The sequence below is a fragment of the Homo sapiens genome, chromosome 11, assembly GCF_000001405.40.
Source record: "Homo sapiens chromosome 11, GRCh38.p14 Primary Assembly".
Taxonomy (NCBI): Eukaryota; Metazoa; Chordata; class Mammalia; order Primates; family Hominidae; genus Homo; species Homo sapiens.
In genome coordinates, this window is record NC_000011.10 from 92,499,456 (window position 1) to 92,519,980 (window position 20,525).

The window sequence follows — 20,525 nt, forward strand, 5'->3', positions numbered from 1 at the left end:
GCCTTTAGTATTCATTGATTTAATATCAACGGTTTTGATTATTCAAGAACTACTTTGTAGGTGTTTGACATAGGCAGTCCTGATTTTGCTGAGAATCTAATTTTTATCACCTGGTTTTGGGATGCTGATAGCAAAAAAATTTGCAGAGACCCTGACCCTAGCTGACTGCCCAGCATCCACATCTGAGCTTGGCTATGTTGTTCACAGTGTCATCTTGAGTCATCTATGTGAACAAAGTCTTGATCTTGTGTGTGTGTATGTGTGTGTATGTGTGTGTGTGTGTGTGTGTGTGTGTGTGTGAAAAGTCACCATGATTAGAAAGAATAAACCCTCAGAAACTTACAAAGTCAGTTAGCTGGTGTTGGAAGTGGATACACAAGAAGTGTGACTTCCCTCAGGAAAGTGATAGAATAGAGCTAGAAGAGACTGTAACAGCATCAGAGCTTGGAGTATTAATTCTCAGGGTATCCATTCCCTTTACAAATGTCAGGGGTCTGATAGCTATAGAAATTTCTGATGTTCAGATTGGGACTGAAATCTAAGCAATATGCTAGTGATAGTAAGGGTAAATAATGTAAAATTTAAAATGTTTTCATTCCTCCTTGAGGTTTTACATTCTCCACTGGATCTGTAGACTGAGAAAATGCCTGTCATGTAGGAGATGCTTAATGAATATTTGTTGACTAAAATTTAGAAGGCTAGGCTCATTGACATTAAAATGCTAAGACCTGTCACACATATCATATATTTATTTTTCCCTTTAAGGATGAATTCCAAAAGATTGTATTGGACCATACAGTATTAAATTAGACTATGTTATTATGTAATTTAATTTAATTTAATTTCAGATATGGTCATAGATAATCTATCAAGTACTTTTATGATCTATAAGGTATTTTTTTCTTCTAGGAATGGTTTTGTGTTGGAGATTAAAAATACCTGTATTTATCAGGACAAGATTGATGCCCTAAAATGCTGGCTAACGTAATTAGGCTGATTGTAAAAGAAATTTGAAGGAGGAAAAATATGATGAAATGTTTCAAAATAGTGACATCTGTTACATCAGTGCCTAATGTGCATTTTTCCTTTATATATTTCTATCTCTCTCCCTGGAAACATCCTTCTTGGAAGTTTTCCCATTATCAGAACAAAGTGCGAAGAGGTAATTTTTTCAAGTCAGATGTGACAGAACACACATCAGCATTCAGGAATGAGGCTTTTGCAATAGGTAATAGTGTAATCGGTTTTGCCAGCAGCAGAATGTACAATCCTATTAGAGTTGTGGAAAAGGAAAAGTATCACCTTAATTTACCTCCAGGCAATACAGCAATAACTTGAGGTGCCTAGGGCTGCTGTGTAAAGATACTTTAATCACATAGTAAAAACAGTTTTAGTCTACTGCCTACTTTAGATGAGGGAAGACTCTCCTAAGTTAATAAATGAATTTTATCCAGCATACAGTCTGGCAATCATGATATGCTATTTTTAATCTTTTTCAACATTAAATCTGTTAAAGAAATTTATCAGGTTACAATGAGATCGATTTCCCCCTTACATTCCCTATGTTCATTGCAGGAAAATTGGATGACAGCTTTTGGATGAGACTGATAGTGCACAAGAAGGAATTGCTCCAAAATTAAGGGAAGTCAGAGTTTCATTCCACAAGCTTCAAATAGAAGCCGCTTTCTATTGTCTTGTACCTTTGGGACTGAACTCATTATAGTAACCATCAAACTAGAAAGTCTTCAGCTGGGGGTATTTCTCATGTTTGCTTTCTGGCTGTATGGGGAATGTGATCTTTAATTAGTTCAGGTTGTAAAATATTGCAGAGAATTTCCCAGGCACACTTTGCTTTGTGGTCTAGGTCAGCAAATGCAATTCTGTTTTAATTGTGGCTGAGCTATTGTCTTAGACTGGTATTCCTAGAGTGCCTTTTACCAATTAATGGTAATATACTACTGGGAAATCATGTTGCCTTGTGGAAGCCTGTAAATAGCAAAGCCCTAATAGGCTGTCTATTAATAGCAATACAGAGTCAGAGACCTAATGCCATTAAATGGCGGTATTCATGTGTGAAAGCCGTCTAGTAACTACTTTAAGGAATTTCAACAGTCATTTGTGTGTGTGGGAAGTGCGTGTGTGTGGGAAGTGTATGCATGTGCGCATGCCTGTTTTCCTCCTGTCTTTCTCTCTTCTTTGTCTTTTTGTTGGGCTTTTTTCTAATATGAATTTCCATTTTCTGTCAACTCTTTATGATGGATTGGGTTCAGGGAAGCAACATGTGCCAGTCGTTGCCTTTGAACCTGTACTTCAGATATGTGGCATTTTATTTTCTCTCCTGCCTCTTGGCTTATCATCAATTCTAGCAGTGAATTTTGACATGTGCAAATTAATAATCATTCAGTCCAAATGAATACAGTGACCTCTGTGCCCACATGATGTACTAAAAGGAGAGGATGCCATGCTTATGAACTCGAGGAGTTCACAACTTAATGAGAGGAGCAAAAATGCACGCGCGCGTGTGTGTGTATTTCCACCTGTCTCTAATAGGCTGTCAAGTTATAATAGTTTAATGTAATCACATGCTTTTTACATTTGTACGTGATAGACTCCTGAGAATAATAGTTAATTTTGTGAAAGAATTAAAAATTGAAGTGACCTGTCTAGTTTGGAAAGCTGGGCCGGCAGCAAGGCAAGAAAAAATTACAGGGATAAACATAAATCTTTCACCATAGAAATCAGTGTGGAGAGATGGTCTAAGAGTTCATTTAAAAAATGCCTTGATGTTTTAGGTGACCATAACCTGGAGATGAAGCAGAGGATAGGGTAGTTTGTTCCTATGAAGTCTAATGCAGTCTCTGAGGACAGTGATAGACAAGTGTGGGTTTTAGATGAACCAGTTCTCAGAATCTAGTTCTTTGTTCTGAGCAGGCCAATGCATCAGGAGTATTGCATTAGAAGATATTTTCACTCTGAATAACATCTAGGAGAAGATGAACAGCACTGGGGAAGGGATGAGTAACAGGCATCTTATAAGAGTGATGTCCAAAGACAACTAGCAATATTGAATCCAGAGGAGGAAAAGCAGAGAGAAGATAGATTCACTTAGTGTTTTAAGACATGTGAAGCAGAAGAGGCTGAATCTCTATTCTGCGCTGTTTCAATGGGTGGAAAGTGTAGGCAGGCAAATATATGGACAGGATATGAAAAAATATCTTCCTAACAATTGCAACTACTGCTGGAATGGCAAGGCTTGGGAAGTAGTGAGCTCAAGACTATTGGCCTTTCACCCAGACCAAAAGGATGCTAACCATTGAGGCTTTCCATAGATGGGCATTTGTATTTGATCATCATGATGTACTTATTGTGCTGAGGTTCTCAAGATGTGTGGAATGATCATGAATGCAAATCCTGCTTCTATCATTTGCGTGATGTAACCTTGAAAAGGTTACTAAAACTTTAAAATCTGTTTCCTCATTTCTAAAATGGGTTTAATATAATGCCTGTACGTACAGTGAAGTAAACACTCAAAGGTAGCCTATTGCTCTAATCTTATTAAAGCACCTATTTGGCCTTGTTGGCTTTAGTCTGAGAAGTGAACTTAATTAAGACTAGCTGGTGAAGTCCTGATGTAAGGTTCAGTTCACAGTCCCTTGGTGTTAGGGTTCCATTTTTCAGCTGAGTGTGAAGAGGCTGCTAGCAGTTTCAGAGTGTGGCAACAAGAAAATTTCCATCGACTTTGCTTACTTGTGTCCATAGATTTTGGAAAATAATGTTTGATTCTTGCATTTTAATAAAATACCTGATTATAATATGCATATTGCCTTACCAAAAAAAGTAGTAGTCATTTTAAAATAGTAATATTAGCAGCTATGATTAGTAATATTTAAAGAGTCCTTATTATGTGCCAGGCACTGTGCTAAGCAGTTTACATAGTAAATAGTGTTTACTATCATTAGTATTGTAACAGGTGGATTAAATGCATTATATTCTTTAAGTCTGAAGCAACTTTATGAGATAGTATTCCTATTTTATAGGTAAGGAAACAGGTACCTAGAAGAAGTTGTTACTTCCACAAGGGCATATCACTAATAAATGAAATAAATAAAATTAGGATCTTTCAGCTGAACTCTCATTGTGCCACCTGACTCTAGAATCAATCTCTCAACCTCTCTCTTTCTTTTGTTCTCACACAAACATAAGTTTTAAAAATTGCTATTTATTCTCATTACAGACAACACACTCTGATTTTTTTCATTTTACTAAAAAATACACATGTCTGGTCTATTACATTGATTCCCTATCTTAAGTTGATCATTACTAAATATAATTTAAAAAATAATGCACACTTGTTTCATTTTGTTCTTGTGGTAATACAAAGTTCTCTATACCTTAGATGGATTACAGTTCTCACATATGTAAAGGGATTTGCTTTGTGCTCTTTTGAGATGGTCCCTTGAAGCAGTGTCATTTTATAGTGGCAGAGGTTATGGTGAAGGAGAGGCACATTTTATGAATCACATTGTCCAAATAAATTACTGCTGTCATCTGAATTCAAAGAGATACATTGTTCCAAATCAGAGCCCTAAGTGACTTGAACATTTCCATCACAGATTGTGAATTATTATGTAATGGAAGCTAACTAGTTGTAGTTTTTCATTTTAGAGCAGCCATAACTGTCAGGTCCACATCATATGCCAAAAACAAGTTGTGCCATGGAAAACACAATGTGAGAGCCAGAAGACCACACAGATTCCATGAATGAGCCAGACTTCTTGGGAGGTCAGTACTCAGACCTGGGCATTAAAGGAGCAGCTCTAATTTGTTTTAGTAATTTTTCCACCCATCTTTTTTTCAATGGTTCCTAGCTACTACTATGCCTGTTTGTTTAAGTAGCATTTGAAACCTCTCTGGTCTCTGCTCAGCACTCAACTTTGATAGCAGAAACAGAAGGAAGGGTTTCCAAAAGACTGTTGGTCCTGAACAACTATTACTTAGGGGTTTAATATTGGTTCTCTGCAGGAAACATGCAAATGACTGATTACCCACTAAAAATAAAGCCTTTTATAGCTGATTTTAAAATCCTATGTTGCCTATGTCTTTGAAACACTCTTTAATTGCTTATGAATATATTATACTTTTGCCTCCTTTTCCTTGTTATAATTTCTCTTTCTACAAGAATAGCTATCTTGGTGGAATTTATTGATTTCCCCAACAAGATTTACCTGTTAGCATTTTCTCTGGCAGGACGTTCTTGTGACTGGCTGCAGTTCAGGAATGTTTCCCTTTCATTTGGTACACATTTGCCTAGTGATATGTGTATCAGGTACTGGGAGGACAGAAGACGAATAAGACATTGCTCTCCTGTAAAACACTCATTCAATAGTCAGACATAGAAAACTGCAGAATTGTGTATTAAATGCCAAAATAAGGGTAGGTTATAAGTATGGTGGTGAAATGAGTGCATGTCTGTTTTGGAATTAATGACATGACTTCATAAAGAAGGAAGTGTTCAGTTTGTGTCTTAAAGTGTGTGTATTATTGAGGGGTGGGGAGGTAGGTGGTTATTTCAGGCAGAACAATGCAATGCACTTTAGAAACATTCAGATGGTTCTGAGGTATCTGGAGTAGACAGGTGGATGGAGCAGTGAGTGGAGGGAGATGAGGTAGGACAGAAGAGAGGAAAGTTCCTGGAGGTGGTTGTGTGTGCCTACTAGAGACTGTCCAGGCCTGCCTGCTACCTCCGTTGAACCAATTCCTGATGCTGATGCAACCATCAGATCATGTATGGGCCAGCTTTTTCTGATTAAGGGCTCTTGAACTTCTGCTGGGGAGAATGGTTCTGACTGATGCTGCTTCCACAACTGTTGTTGGGCTTCTTTGAACTTTCCTGGACGACTAGATATTACACTTGATTCCTGGCTGTGGGTGTCTGTTTCCCTGGTCTGAGAGTCTGGCTGTGCAGCAGATGCATTTTGGAGGAGCTGAAGCTGAAAGTGCCAGTGTGGTGCTGGTGTGCATCACTGCCCTCTCTGGGATATCTCTGCAGCAGAGCAAGGTTACAGAGCTACATCTGCCGCAGCTTTCTGTGAGTTGTGTAAAAAGACTGTGCCAACCAGTGGGGAGCTTACATTTTCTTATATGGGATTCCTACTATTTTAATTAAATATTGCTTTTAGCAGCTCTTCCTATTTCTACCCTCCTGGGACTAACTAGGTGTTTGTTTGTTTGTTTGTTTTGCCTTACAACTCATCACCACATATAGGACATTGTTAATAGATGTGATAAATGATAATAATTCTCTGCTGGACTCTTCCTGCACAGTCAGGAGTCAAAGCCCCACTGGAAGAAGAAACATTATTCACTCATTCAACAAATATTTATTGTTCGTGTACTATGTGCAATAACTGTCAGGCACTCTGTAGGCGCTGGACTCCATGTTGAGTAAGACAGGAAGGATCCTCTCTGCCCTGGGGGATATTACAGTCTGTCTAGTTGCGGGGTGGGGGATAACTATAAACACCATAATTAAGGTCACGTGCAATGACATCTACTCCTCAGAAAGGCAGGACAGCATATCTGTGGCTACAGAGCATGCCTAAGATTTTGGGCAGGTAGCTGGTCAGAACTGACCTCAAAACCAAAAATTCCCCATAAAACACACAGTCCAGAATGGTCTCCTTGAACTCTAGGGCTGTTCCTAATTTCTCTTTTAACAGCACATTTTGCATTTTTGCAAACCTTTCTGTTGCAACCTCACATAGGTAACTGAAATTTCACTTCTGTTGAACTCAAACTCTAGATATGTGAAGAGAAGAAAGGTGGTTGTAGAATGGCCCCAAGATCCTCCTTTCTGGACGCCTTTCCTCTTTTCTCTTTGCTGCTAGCTTTTCCTTATTGTCTGACCTAAATTGAGCCAAAAGCTACAAATATTGAGGAATACCTCCACAATACCATTCTCATGCATTTTTGCTTCAGTGAGCCAGCTTTCCTTTGGATATTGGATATGTTATCAGTAATGTACATACAATATAACTATAACTAGCATCAGAATCCTTCATTTGAGCCATTCACACAATTTTTAAATAGTATGTTAATATAAGGTCAGAATATTTTTCATATTATCTTGAATTTTCACAGAAGTCCAGATTTCACACTATTATTGCCTTTTTCCAAGTTCCTAATATAGTTGTTTCTGATTATATGCATGTTATCTGCTTCACATTATGAGCAGTGCTTAAATAAATGTTCTTACAAAGGGGAAAAATTATCATGATTTTTCTTCCCCGGCTTGAAGAAACTGCATATCAATTTGTTTGCAAATCTCAATAATTTGTTCTAAAACTAACATTGACCTGTATTGGTATTTACACAGCTTACGATCACTAAGCACATTTAAATATAGAAATTTTTAAAGAACTAGTCTATCTGCAACATAAAGGCAGCATGGTGACAACAGGCTAATATTAAAAACAGCCTTCTCTTTTCTCCTCTTCTTTTCCCTTCTCACTGTGAGTCAACATCCATGCATTTAACAGATATTCAAGCTGTGTGCATATGCACACTGAATTCTGTTTTAAGGAATATAGAGGAGAATTCTTCTGTTTTCTTGTCAAAGCTGGTCTAACACAGTGAGTTAGTATTTATCGAAGTCTTGTCAGTGCCTCTGGTGCTGTCGACAGAGCAAGTGGGCACATTTCATCTCAATTACCAAAAGAAGATGAATACAAGGCGGGATGTGTGTGTCAGAGGTTAGAGCCATTTAATGGGATGAAATGTGAATGAAAATTGGAGAACAATCCAAGAAATCTATAGAAGATGAGAACTGGAGAAACTCAATTAGAGAAAACCATACACTTCCCTCCTTCTGGACCCTGGTTTCTTTGTGCTATTGTAGTTGCTTATTTGGTTATAAATAGGAAAGCAAAGAGTTTATTGTTTCCATTGTGAAGAAAAGGCAAGGTAGTTTTGAGGATTTCACTCATGTACTCTGATGCTTTTATATGTATATATATGTGTGGGGGTGTGTGTATATACACACATATATGTACACATATATATACACATGTATATATACACACATACATATATAGGGTGTATATATATACACACACATATCCTATATCTGTACACCCTATATAACATATATGTGTGTATATACGTATAGGAAAATTGGAGGAGATGTGGAATATATACATATATACACATATATGTACACATATGCACACATGTGTACATATACATGTATATATACAACATATACATGTATATGTACATATATAGGATACATACACACCCTATATATATACACACATATACACACATCCTATATAACATATGTGTATATGTGTGCATGTGTATATGCCCCTTATAACACACACGCACACCCTGTGTGTGTTTGCATGTGCGTGTATACCCCCTATAACCGAATCAACCAAACCTAATTACTGTACCAAAGTATGACATTGGCTATGTGATTGTGTCAACACTGGTCAAAGGAAAAGGCAGTTTGGTGAGATTTAACCTAAAAGGATGAAAGAAAATAGACATTCTGTAGGGCACTTTTCCCATCGTAGGCTTTTATAAACTTGTCATAATAAATGTAGTTATAAGTTTTTAAGTCACACAACATACATAGTTGAAGGAAGAAACAATAATACAAAACTAAGACCCCAATCTGTCTTCCTTTGCTTGTTTTGTGTTTCACTTCCATTACCTAGAATGTGTTTTCCAGGGGATTAAATTTTGCTATTTTGGTCAAAGTTGTCTCTGTGTCATATGTGCAGTTATCTTTGCAACCCCAGTAAAAATGTTTTCTTGGTAAACATAAAATCACCTGTGAAAGAGTGCATTCATTCACTTGAGAAAAGAATAAGTGAGCTATATGCTTTCATTATTTTATTGAGAAATTACTGAAGGCTGTTACTTTATAAGGGGTAGCAAGTATGAGATTTGTATCAGGGTTGATGTAGCTTTACTTACGTTTTTCAGATTCTGATACAGAAAAAATGAAAAAAAGTGTTCTTTTTGCCTTGGAGAAAAAGTTATCTGAAAAGGAAAATTTCCACAAAGTTTCAGCGTAAAAGGAGAGAAGTTCAAGTCCATTCATTACATTTTTAAGAGTATATTTTGTCCTGTCTGGCATATCTCACGGAGGAAATAGTTGGGCTTTTGAGAATATGTGGGTGTGGGCATATGCACCAAGGATTTGCCCAAGTCATTTCACTTTAGGGAACCTTTTTTCCAAGTGTAACTTCGTGAAAGAGAAAAGGCTTTTCTAAGCAAAACTCAAATTCTCAGCCCAAATGCTTAGAGACTCCAGATACTCTTTGTGCTAAGTTAGAGAGTCGGTATTAAATAAGTCTAAAAATTGGATTAAAGTATGGCTAATATCTGACAGCACATCCACCTGAAAATGTTCTTGCTTGAAGAGCTGAAGGTTATGTTCTGACATTTTATTTAAAAATCCCACAACACTTTTCAAGGCTGAAGAATTCAAAGTTTTGTGGACAAATTTTAATTTAAATTATGCCTCATGCAAAATCTTCTCAGCAGAATTTTCAGCACTATCTTTCTATCAACATCAACATCAATGATGTTTTATCTTACTAAACATCATGGAATTTTGTCCTTGAGTAAAATTATCAAAATACAAAAAGGAGCAGTTTAAGGATGTTAATTTATGAAATCAGTTATTATCTCTCTACATGGTAAATGATAGTATTTTTAATTTTTGTGTTTTTTCCCAACAAATAATGCAAATCTTATAACGATTTAATCAAAATGTGATCTGAAACTGCTGGTTAAAATATAATTGACACAATCTTTCTGGAAGGCAATTTAGTCAAATGCATTTAAAAATGTGTATCTCCTTTGACCTGTCAATTCTACTTTTGTGAACTTATCCTAAAGAGTAATTGAAAAAAGATAGGGATACAAGTTTATTCATCTAAACATGAGTTATAATAGTGAAAAATTTTAAAATGACCTAATAAGTGACCTAGCAAGAGTGGACTTCATTAAGTAAATGGTAAACATCACATGAATATTTCAGCCAATATTTATTGAGCACCTCATGTGTGTGTGCTAGACACTCTTCTAGGGTATATGGCAGTGATGGAGGAGAGAACATTCTTACACATAGTTTACATTTTAGTGTGTTATTGGACTAGTGGGCAAGTGGACATCACTACAGTCATTAAAAATGAGTCATAGAACTAAAGTTATTAATGCGGAAAGATGTTCCATGTACAATGGTGAGAATATATTAAGGAATGGTAAAAACTGCAGTTACTTTTGCACCTAAATAAAACTACAGATAAATATACTGCTTTGGGGTGAAAATAATATAGAACAAAGGCAATGCAACAAAGACACCAACAGTTATTATCTCTGGATCATGACATAATCAGCACTTTAAAAACATATTTATATTTCATATTTTCTTCTACAGTGAAGTGTTGATTTTTTAAATGCAGAGATTTGCCTAGTAATTAGTTTGAATGCTCCAAAAGTTTCTGCTGTTCAAAAGATTCATCTATCTTCTACCTATCTGCTTGTCTGTTTATCTATGTATCTATCTCTGAAGCAAGAATAGAAATAAACTTCAGCTTCCTTCAGATAGCTATTTCTGTGTTCACTGACCATTATCGTCAGAAAATATTTCTAGATATCTAACTGAAATCTGTTGTGCTGAAGTTTATGTCCATTTCTTCTTCTCAAGAAATAGAATCCAGTGACCACACTTCATGTTACAACCTCCACGTTTTCAGTCACTTCACACAAGCCATGTCTCGACTTCATTTCATATATTCTCTGAGGGTGTTTTTTCCATTGCTCTAGGTTTCAACCTTCCTTTCTTTCTGTGTGTATGAATCTATACCATTGTGCTGTGTATGGTGGTTATGCAAATTAGCACCCACCAGAGAAAGGATTTGAGGCTGGGAATCATCTAAGTTATAGGAGAGAAAAACAGAGTGCAAGCTGTACATGTCACTCCCAGCTTGGTACTCTTTTGGCTTCCTGTCTTCAAGCTGTTGGTGCCTGGTGCCAACTACACAGACAAGAGTTTTTATAGAGAGAAGAGGTGTGCATTTGGAATCCTATAAAAATGGGTCCTGAAAAGTTTATCTTGAAAACTTCAAGAAGCAAGTATGTGTTTTCTGAACCTACAGAACATCATGGCCAAGGAGGCTTTTGAGCATGCAGCTAAGTTTTAGAATTCCTGAGTCCCAAACAGACAAGGAGAGCTGTCCATTTTCATTAACTCCAAATAAAAGCTTGAATTCAGCCTGAAGCCCTTTGCCTTAATCTTCCTTGCAGCTCTCCAACTTACAGCCTTGAGAAGTAACAGGCACTGAAGGCGGCTTGCATTTCAGTGCATAATTGCTCTCAACAACTGTGTTGTGGGTTTTTCTTCTCCTTCTGCAAAGATGAAAGATGCCTAATCAATGGGCATCCTCATGAGGAGGAGGGAACAGAGTAGAACAAAAGTGTCCAGGGTGGAGGCAAATCTGTGGATGAGAGCCCATCTAGAGCGCCTTGCTGGCGCTTTATCTGGGGCCTGAAGGCACTGATTCTGGCAGCCTGCAGTGTGTACCTGTGGGCAGGGCACCATTTAAGTGCATGATAAAATCAGCTAATGCCTTCATCAAACTATGTCTTTGCTTCTAGGCTTGAGGATATTATCATGACTCCATTTGCGTTCTAGGTAGCAAAGGGAAAACCCAAAACTGGGCATAATTTTAAGAAAATTGTCTTATTACTTAGGATAATTCACAGATGGAGAGTTGAAATTCAGAGCTTGAATTATCACTTCTTCATATGCGTTAAAGAAGTCTGAAATTGACTATAAGCTTATTCTATCCACATTTTATTTTGTCCGGTGATCACAGGATAACAAAATATCTGGTTGACTCTTCTTTTTTTTTTGTTTCCAAATGCTCTTATTCATAGGGGGAGCTTGTCTTTAAAGAACCAGACATTCCAACTTGGCTAAATTTACCAAATGTTATGATGTTATCCTTCATTTACTTATTCCACATTTTTATAGTGTTCCAAATTTCTAGCCACCATCATAGGATAGAGAAAAGCAAATCAAAATGTTTCTTACTAGTGGGGAGCTCACAGTAGGATGGTAGAGGGACAGAAATAAAGTGCTAAGATAAAAGGCAGGAGGGGTCAGCCCCCACCCTGGATGGCTGGCTGGGTGACAGTGCTCTTTGAATCCTCCTTGAGGGTTGAGGAGCAAAGGAGGCCATTTGTGGAGATGGATTGAAGGAGCAGCCTGAGCAGATGTGCACAAAAGCAAAGGAGTGATGGATATTAAAGGAAGAGTTGGCCCTCCAATTTGCCTGGTTCCAGACCAATCCAACATCTGAAAATCTTCAGAGAACATATAATATTGAATTCAAAATAATACATTTCAGCAAATTTTAGAAATTGAGGAAAGTAATAAAATCATTGAATTTCCTATTACCAAAGAGCTGATACTAACCCACTGTGAGGAGCACAAGAACTTGGAATTGCCTTCTTTTTCATGATAATGGACACACGTGGATAGATCAGCAGCATACCTCATGTAATGAAAAGAATGTGTGACTTCTATTCAGTGTGCCACATTCCAGGCCTGACTTTGCCACTTGATTAGCTGGGCAATTCACTTAAAATCCCCAATTTAAAAAAAGTGCATTGAAGTATACATTTAAGTATGTTATATATCTTAATATGTGACATATAAAGTATATAAAAATATATGCACATATAATATAGACAGAGTTGCCAAAAGACAAAATCACAACAAATTTAAAGATCTTAACTGCCTTTTATTTGTGATTCTAGAATCAGGCACCACCTCATTCTCTAAAATAGAATGGGTGCTTTGATGAGCTGAGCAGAGGAGGGTGGCTTTATAGACAGAAAAGGGCTAAGGAGAACAGAACTGGAACAAAAAGCAGATTGATTGTTTCAAAATGACTTTCCTAGTAAAGGTTAAAGCAAAGGGGACTTTCTTATCATGCTAGCTAAAACTGCCCTGTTTTATATCTCAAAAAAAAATATATATAAATATATATAAATTATATTTTAAATTTATATATATAAATATATATAAATTATATTTTAAATTTTTATATATTAAATATGTTTTAATGTATAATATTAAAATATATATATTTAAAATATATATATATCTTGATTTCTTGGAAGGTCAGATAAACAACTTAGTGTTGGCTTGGTGGCATGGAACTTAACATGAGTGACTCCATTTTGGTTTGATCTTTTGGGCCTGGTGCAGGAACTCAGTCCAAACCAGTGACTTTCTGCAAATTGTATTTAACACACTAAAATGTATTTGAAGCATTATAAACATCTAAGTTAAGATTATCGGCCGGGCGCGGTGGCTCACGCCTGTAATCCCAGCACTTTGGGAGGCCGAGGCGGGCGGATCACGAGGTCAGGAGATCGAGACCATCCTGGCTAACACGGTGAAACCCCGTCTCTACTAAAAATACAAAAAATTAGCCGGGCGTGGTAGCGGGCGCCTGTAGTCCCAGCTACTCGGGAGGCTGAGGCAGGAGAATGGCGTGAACCCGGGAGGCGGAGCTTGCAGTGAGCCGAGATCGCGCCACTGCACTCCAGCCTGGGCGACAGAGCTAGACTCCGTCTCAAAAAAAAAAAAAAAAGATTATCTCCACCCACAATTTCTCTACTAATCTCTGTTCATGCCATTTCAATTTGTTTCAGCTGTGTCCATATATTTCAGACTGACAGCAATTACAGATATGACTATAGGAGTGAGTGGAGTGACCCTGGTTGGGCCTATGAGGATAAAATGCCCATTCTTCCTTAACTGTTACCACACACTGTGCTGAACAATGATTTCTGTGAAGGCATTAAGAATCTTATACAGGTCCAAGGATGAATAGAACAAGAAAGAAAAATAGTATCTGTATGATCTTGCTAGAGGCAGGCATGGGGTTGGCTAAAAGTGGTTATGGAGCCCATGAAAGAATTTCATGTGCTCTCAGAAATAAATCTAGTTTAAAGAGTTTGACTCTTGAAGAAATAAGCAATTTAAAAATGCACTGAGATGTTAATATTAGGAAAGATTAGGTAAACAGTGCAGGGAACTCTCTATATATTTCTTTGCACCTTCCTATGAATTTATAATTATTTCAGAATAAGAAGCTAAAAAATCTTTAATGCACTGAAAATTGAGAATTTACATTTTCAATAATTAGAAATAAGCGTTAAATGAATCATGCACAAGTGAACAGACTCTGTTAGAAGCATATACAACAGATATGCCATCAAGGTATTTTTTAAGATTGTTTTTAATGGCCTCAGAGTCTCTAATAATTATCCCAGCAGGATGATTTTTACCATGTTATAAACACATGACCCCCAAAGCATTCCCTGATCCATACGCTGATAGGTTGTTTGGAGCTGTTGTGTTTGGGTGTCATTCTTTTGGAGCAAGATGTCATTTTAGACTTGGCATGTGGCATATGGGGATATGGCTAGAAAGTAGATAAGGTAAACAACCTAGCATGTAATATTTATCTAATTATGAACAGCTTTATATATTTCCCCTTTCATCTCAAATATTTAGGACTGATTCAGTGAGCACAATGTACACATTTTTTTCTAATACTTGTTTGTGAATAAAAATTAATTAAAACAAATATGTGTTTCATGCTGGAATTAAATAATTAAAGTTCAGTCTGTGCACAGTTCTGCCAAAACAAACATACAAATAAATAAATACTTTCTGTGTATCTACTTATTCATTTAAATATTAAGATGCCCAGAGAATTTTGGGTCTGCTCCTGCCTTTATTATACAGCAAATAAAGATAAAAACAGAAAAGAACAATTTTGTAAACATAAGCATACCTCAAAAACAAAGAACATAAAAAATCCAAACTGTATTTCTAATGAATTTTGAAAATGACATTTTTATAAACATCAGGGTAAAATTTGAGCATCTCAACATAATCCACCTTGAGCATTTCAGTGATAGGTAAAAATGTGAGGGATAGGATACATTGCTGTCTGGGATATTCACTTGAGTCCTTTTCACTGAGCAGTACTACCTGAAACATGCTAGAAGCTCATTGTAGATGGTTTATTTTTTAAATGAGGTGTTCTTAATCACTCATTTCTACTCCCACTCAGCATGCACTTATGAATGGACAGAGGTCCTATCCTATTGAATCAGAGACAGAGATCAGAGTGAACAAAGAACCTATATGGCACACGAGGAAGGAATTCTTAGACTGGAGAAGAAAAGCCCAGCAAAGAAATCGTTATCTTTTGATACTGAAAGAGCTGTCACAGAAGAAAGATTGTTTGCAAAGTTGTTCTGTTTTATTCTGAAATGTGAATGGGAATATAGGTATAAATCGCTTTTGAAATTACAGAGACCAAATTTTTGTCTCAGTGTGAAGAAGTTTGTGTTAGCTAAAACTGCCCAGTAAATGGTGAGGATCCTATCACCTGATTTGGAACAGAGTCTGGGTTCTGGGTCAGAGATGTTGTGGAAGGGATGCTTTCATTAGGAGAATTGTATCTAGTGTTCTTTGAGGTCTCTTCCAGGTCTGAGGGAGGCTAATGAATCGCTTCATTGATATAAACTAGCCTACTGCTGAATCAGTGTCATGGACATACACTTATTGAGTGCCTACTATATGTCAGGCAGCCAGAAACTCTGCCATTATAGAACCCACTATGAACAGATAGATGGAAGGAGACCCCTTTCTGGGGATGAATACTCCAGGACTGTGTTGGGTAATGGGTTATGAATATGTCACAGACATTTATATTCTGCCTATCTTTATAAATAAAAACAGACTCTCTTTGAAGAGAGTCAGTAATGCTTTTTAAAAATATTTATATTCTACAAAGATATACCAAGATGTACCAAAAAGTATCTTTTTATGATTTCTACATTCGGTATGGAAAACATGAGTAAGAAAGTAAAATATTAATTAAATAATGTTTGCTTAGTAATGACACTTCTCTATCAGAGGGGAAAAATGTCTTTGGATATGATACTGTATCTGGGTTTTGTATAAATATTGATTAAATAGACAATATGGTTTTTGTTAACAACTGGTCTTGAGTCTGACAAACTAAAGTTTGAGAAGAGAATTTTATATTTACTGGATGAGTGATCACTGGCAAGTTGCTTAACCTATATCTGTTTCTTTATCTGTCAAATGGGGATAAATACAGTAACTGCCTCATGAGTGCTTACAGTAATAAATATTTGTTGAATGAATGAGGGATTTTAAAGAATTAATGAAGACTGAATTTATTGTACCTGTCAAAATACCAGGTGCACAATGATTAAATAGTGATGTGTGTGAAAGTCATGATAGTGATGATAGTGGTTGTAATACTGTCTCTGTTTGGAGATGATATGATCATCTATGTACAAAACTATGGAATTTATAAAAAATTGGTTAGAAGACTAAACCAGGAAGAAGTTGAATCCCTGAATAGACAAATAACAAGTTCTGAAATTGAGGCAGTAATTAATAGCCTACCAACCCAAAAAAGCCCAGGATCAGACAGATTCACAGTCAAATTCTACCAAAGGTACAAAGAGAAGCTGGTACCATTCCTTCTGAAATTATTCCAAACAATAGAAAAAGAGGGACTCTTCCCTAACTCATGTTATGAGGCCAGCATAATCCTGATACCAAAACCTGGCAGAGACACAACAAAAAAAGAAAATTTCAGGCCAATATCCCTGATGAACATCAATGTGAAAATCCTCAATAAAATACTGGCAAACTGAATCCAGCAGCACATCAAAAAGTGTATCCACCATGATCAAGTCGGCTTCATCCCTGGGATGCAAGGCTGGTTCAACATATGCAAATCAATAAACATAAGCCATCACATAAACAGAACCTACGACAAAAACCACATGGTTATCTCAATAGATGCAGAAAAGGCCTTCAATAAAATTAAACACCCCTTCATACTAAAAACACCCAATAAACTAGGTATTGAGGGAACATATCTCAAAATAATAAGAGCTATTTATGACAAGCCCATAGCCAATATCATACTGAATGGGCAAAAGCTAGAAGCATTCCCTTTGAAAACCCACACAAGACAAGGATGCCCTCTCTCACCACTCCTATTCAACATAGTATTGGAAGTTCTGGCCAGAGCAATCAGGCAAAAGAAAGAAGTAAAGGATATTCAAATAGGAAGAGAGGAAGTCAAATTGTCTCTGTTTGCAAATGACATGATTGTATATTTAGAAAACCCCGTCGTCTCAGCCCCAAATTTCCTTAAGCTGATAAGCAACTTCAGCAAAGTCTCAGGATACAAAGCCAATGTGCAAAAATCACAAGCATTCCTATACACCAATAGTAGACAAACAGAGAGCCAAATCATGAGTGAACATTCATTCACAATTACTACAAAGAGAATAAAATACACAACTGACAAGGGATGTGAAGGCCCTCTTCAAGGAGAAGTACACACCACTGCCCAAGGAAATAAGAGAGGATACAAACAAATGGAAAAACATTCCATGCTCATGGATAGGAAGAATAAATATCGTGAAAACGGCCATACTGCCCAAAGAAATTTATAGATTCAATGCTATCCCCATCAAGCTACCATTGACTTTCTTCAAAGAATTGGAAAAAACTACTTTAAATTTCATATGGAACCAAAAGAGAGCCCATATAGCCAAGACAACCCTAAGCAAAAAGAACAAAGCTGGAGGCATCACGCTACCTGACTTCAAACTATACTACAAGGCTACAGTAACCAAAACAGCATGGTACTGATACCAAAACAAATATATAGACCAAAGGGACAGAACAGAGGCCCCAGAAATAACCACACATTTACAACCATCTGATCTTTGATAAACCAGACAAAAACAAGTCATAGATTCCCTATGTAATAAATGGTGTTGGGAAAACTGGCTAGCCATATGCAGAAAACTGAAACTGGACCCCTTTCTTACATCTTGTACAAAAATTAACTCAAGATGAATTAAAGATTTAAATATAAGACCTAAAACCATAAAAACCCTAGAAGAAAACCTAGGCAATACCATTCAGGACATAGGCATGGGCAAAGACTTCATGACTAAAACACCAAAAACAGTGGCAACAAAAGCCAAAATTGACAAATGGGATCTAATTAAACTAAAGAGCTTCTGCACAGCAAAAGAAACTGTCGTCAGAGTGAACAGGCAACCTATAGAATGGGAGAAACTTTTTGCCATCTATCCATCTGACAAAGAGCTAATATCCAGAATCTACAAGGAACTTAAATTTACAAGGAAAAAAACAAACAGCCCCATCAAAAAGTGGGTGAAGGATATGAACAGACACTTCTCAAAAGAAGACATTTATATGGCAAACAAACATATGAAAACAAGCTCATCATCACTGGTCATTAGAGAAATGCAAATTAAAACCACAATGAGATACAGTCTCACACCAGTTAGAATGACAATCATTAAAAAGTCAGGAAATAACAGATGCTGGAGAGGATATGGAGAAATAGGAGTGCTTTTACACTGTTGGTGGGAGTGTAAATTAGTTCAACCATTGTGGAAGACAGTGTGGTGATTCCTCAAGGTTCTAGATCCAGTGAGCCAAATAATGCTAGAAATATTACTAAGAAATTTACTAGACATATACATTTTACCCAGCAATCCCATTACTGTGTATATACCCAAAGGATTATAAATAATTCTGGTATAAATACTCATGCACACGTATGTTTACTGCAGCACTATTCACAATAGCAAAGATTTGCAACCAACCCAAATGCCCATCAATGATAGACTGGTTAAAGAACGTGTGACACATATACACCATGGAATACTATGCAGCCATAAAAAGGATGAGTTCCTGTCTTTTGCAGAGATAGGATGAAGCTGGAAACCATCATTCTCAGCAAACTAACACAGAACAGAAAACCAGACCCTGCACGTTCTCACTCATAAGTGGGAATTGAACAATGAGAACACATGGACACAGGGAGGGTAACATCACACACCAGGGCCTGTCAAGGAGTGGGGGGCTAGGGGAGAGATAGCATTAGGTGAAATACCTAATGTAGATGACAGGTTAATGGGTGCAGCAAATCACCATGGCACATGTATACCTATGTAACAAACCTGCACGTTTTGCACATGTATCCCAGAACTTAAAGTATAACAATAAAAAAAAAAATTGGTTAGAACTAATAAGTAAGTTTAACAATGTTGTAGGATACAAGATTAACATACAAAAATCAACAGTAACTTATATACTAAAATTAAACAATTGACATTAAAATAAAAATAATGCATTTTATAATATGTCAAAAACATGAAATGTTTAGGGATAAATTTGACAAAAGATATGTAAGCTTTGTATACCGAAACTATAAAGCATTCCTTAGAGAAATGAAAGAAGACAAATACATAAAGATAAATACCATTTTTATGGATCAGTAGACTCAAAGCTGTCAAGATGCCAGTTCTTACCAAATTGATTTATAGGTTAAATCTAATTCCAATCAAAATCCTAGTGGGTTTCCTAAGTGTCTTATGGATTTTAAAGATGATTCTATAATTTATATAGAAATGCAAATCACCTGGGTTAGCCTAAACAATTGTGAAAAGAGCAAAGTTGGAAGACTTACACTTCCTGATTTCAAGATTTATAAAGCTACATTAATCAAGACAATGTGATATTGGCATAAAGGTAGTCAAACAGATTAATGGGACAGAATGGAGAGTCCAGAAATAGACCCATACATGTAGCAATTGATTTTTGACACAGGTGCAAAGGCAGTTCAGTGGAAAAAGAAGAGTCTTTTCAACACATGGGGCTGGAACAATGAACATCTACATACAAAAAATAAACTTAGATCTATATCTTTCACCATAAAGAAAACTCAAAATGGATCATAGATATAAATACAACACCTAAGACTATTAGACCAGAAGAAAACACAGGACAAAATTTTTATGACTTTGGATTAGGCAAGGATTTCTAAGATACAATACCAAAACATGACCTATAAAAGAAAAATTGATAAATTGTATATGAAAATATAAGATTTTTACCTTCAAACATTACTATTATAAGAGTGAAAAGCCACAGACTGGGGGGGAAGTTAGCAAATCACTTATCTGATAAAGACTCTTATCCAGAATATATAAAGAACTCTTGAAATTCAAGAAAACAACCCAAATTTAAAAATAGGCAAAACATTTGAACACTTAACCTACGATAACTTCTTTATCTTAGAGAAGATATTCAGGTGAAAAATAAGCACTTTTAAAGATGCTTAACATCATAAAGATGCAAATGAAAACTTCAATGAGATACCATTGTATACCCATTAGAATATCTACATTTGAGACACTGACCATGCCAAGTCAGCCACAAGTGGGGATGTGGAGCAACTGGAACCCTCCACATTCACTGCCAGTGGGAATGTGAAATGGTGCAAATATATGTCTATCCTATGATATAGTCATTCTTACCC

At 36.5% G+C, this 20,525-nt stretch overlaps 1 protein-coding gene across 12 annotated transcripts in view, besides 2 other annotated features; it reads left to right on the top strand.

The window, feature by feature from the left end:
* The window catches only part of FAT3 (FAT atypical cadherin 3), a 671,656-nt gene that overhangs the window by 274,638 nt on the left and 376,493 nt on the right, over positions 1-20,525 (top strand). The window lies entirely within an intron of this gene.
* Positions 11,003-11,503: an enhancer, noted in NCBI's record as "NANOG-H3K27ac hESC enhancer chr11:92243624-92244124 (GRCh37/hg19 assembly coordinates)". NCBI's record gives its function as "activates a minimal SCP1, AML or CMV promoter by ChIP-STARR-seq in primed H9 embryonic stem cells {active_cell/tissue: H9 hESC(primed)}" and the evidence as "EXISTENCE:reporter gene assay evidence [ECO:0000049][PMID:30033119]".
* Positions 11,504-12,004: an enhancer, noted in NCBI's record as "NANOG-H3K27ac hESC enhancer chr11:92244125-92244625 (GRCh37/hg19 assembly coordinates)". NCBI's record gives its function as "activates a minimal SCP1, AML or CMV promoter by ChIP-STARR-seq in primed H9 embryonic stem cells {active_cell/tissue: H9 hESC(primed)}" and the evidence as "EXISTENCE:reporter gene assay evidence [ECO:0000049][PMID:30033119]".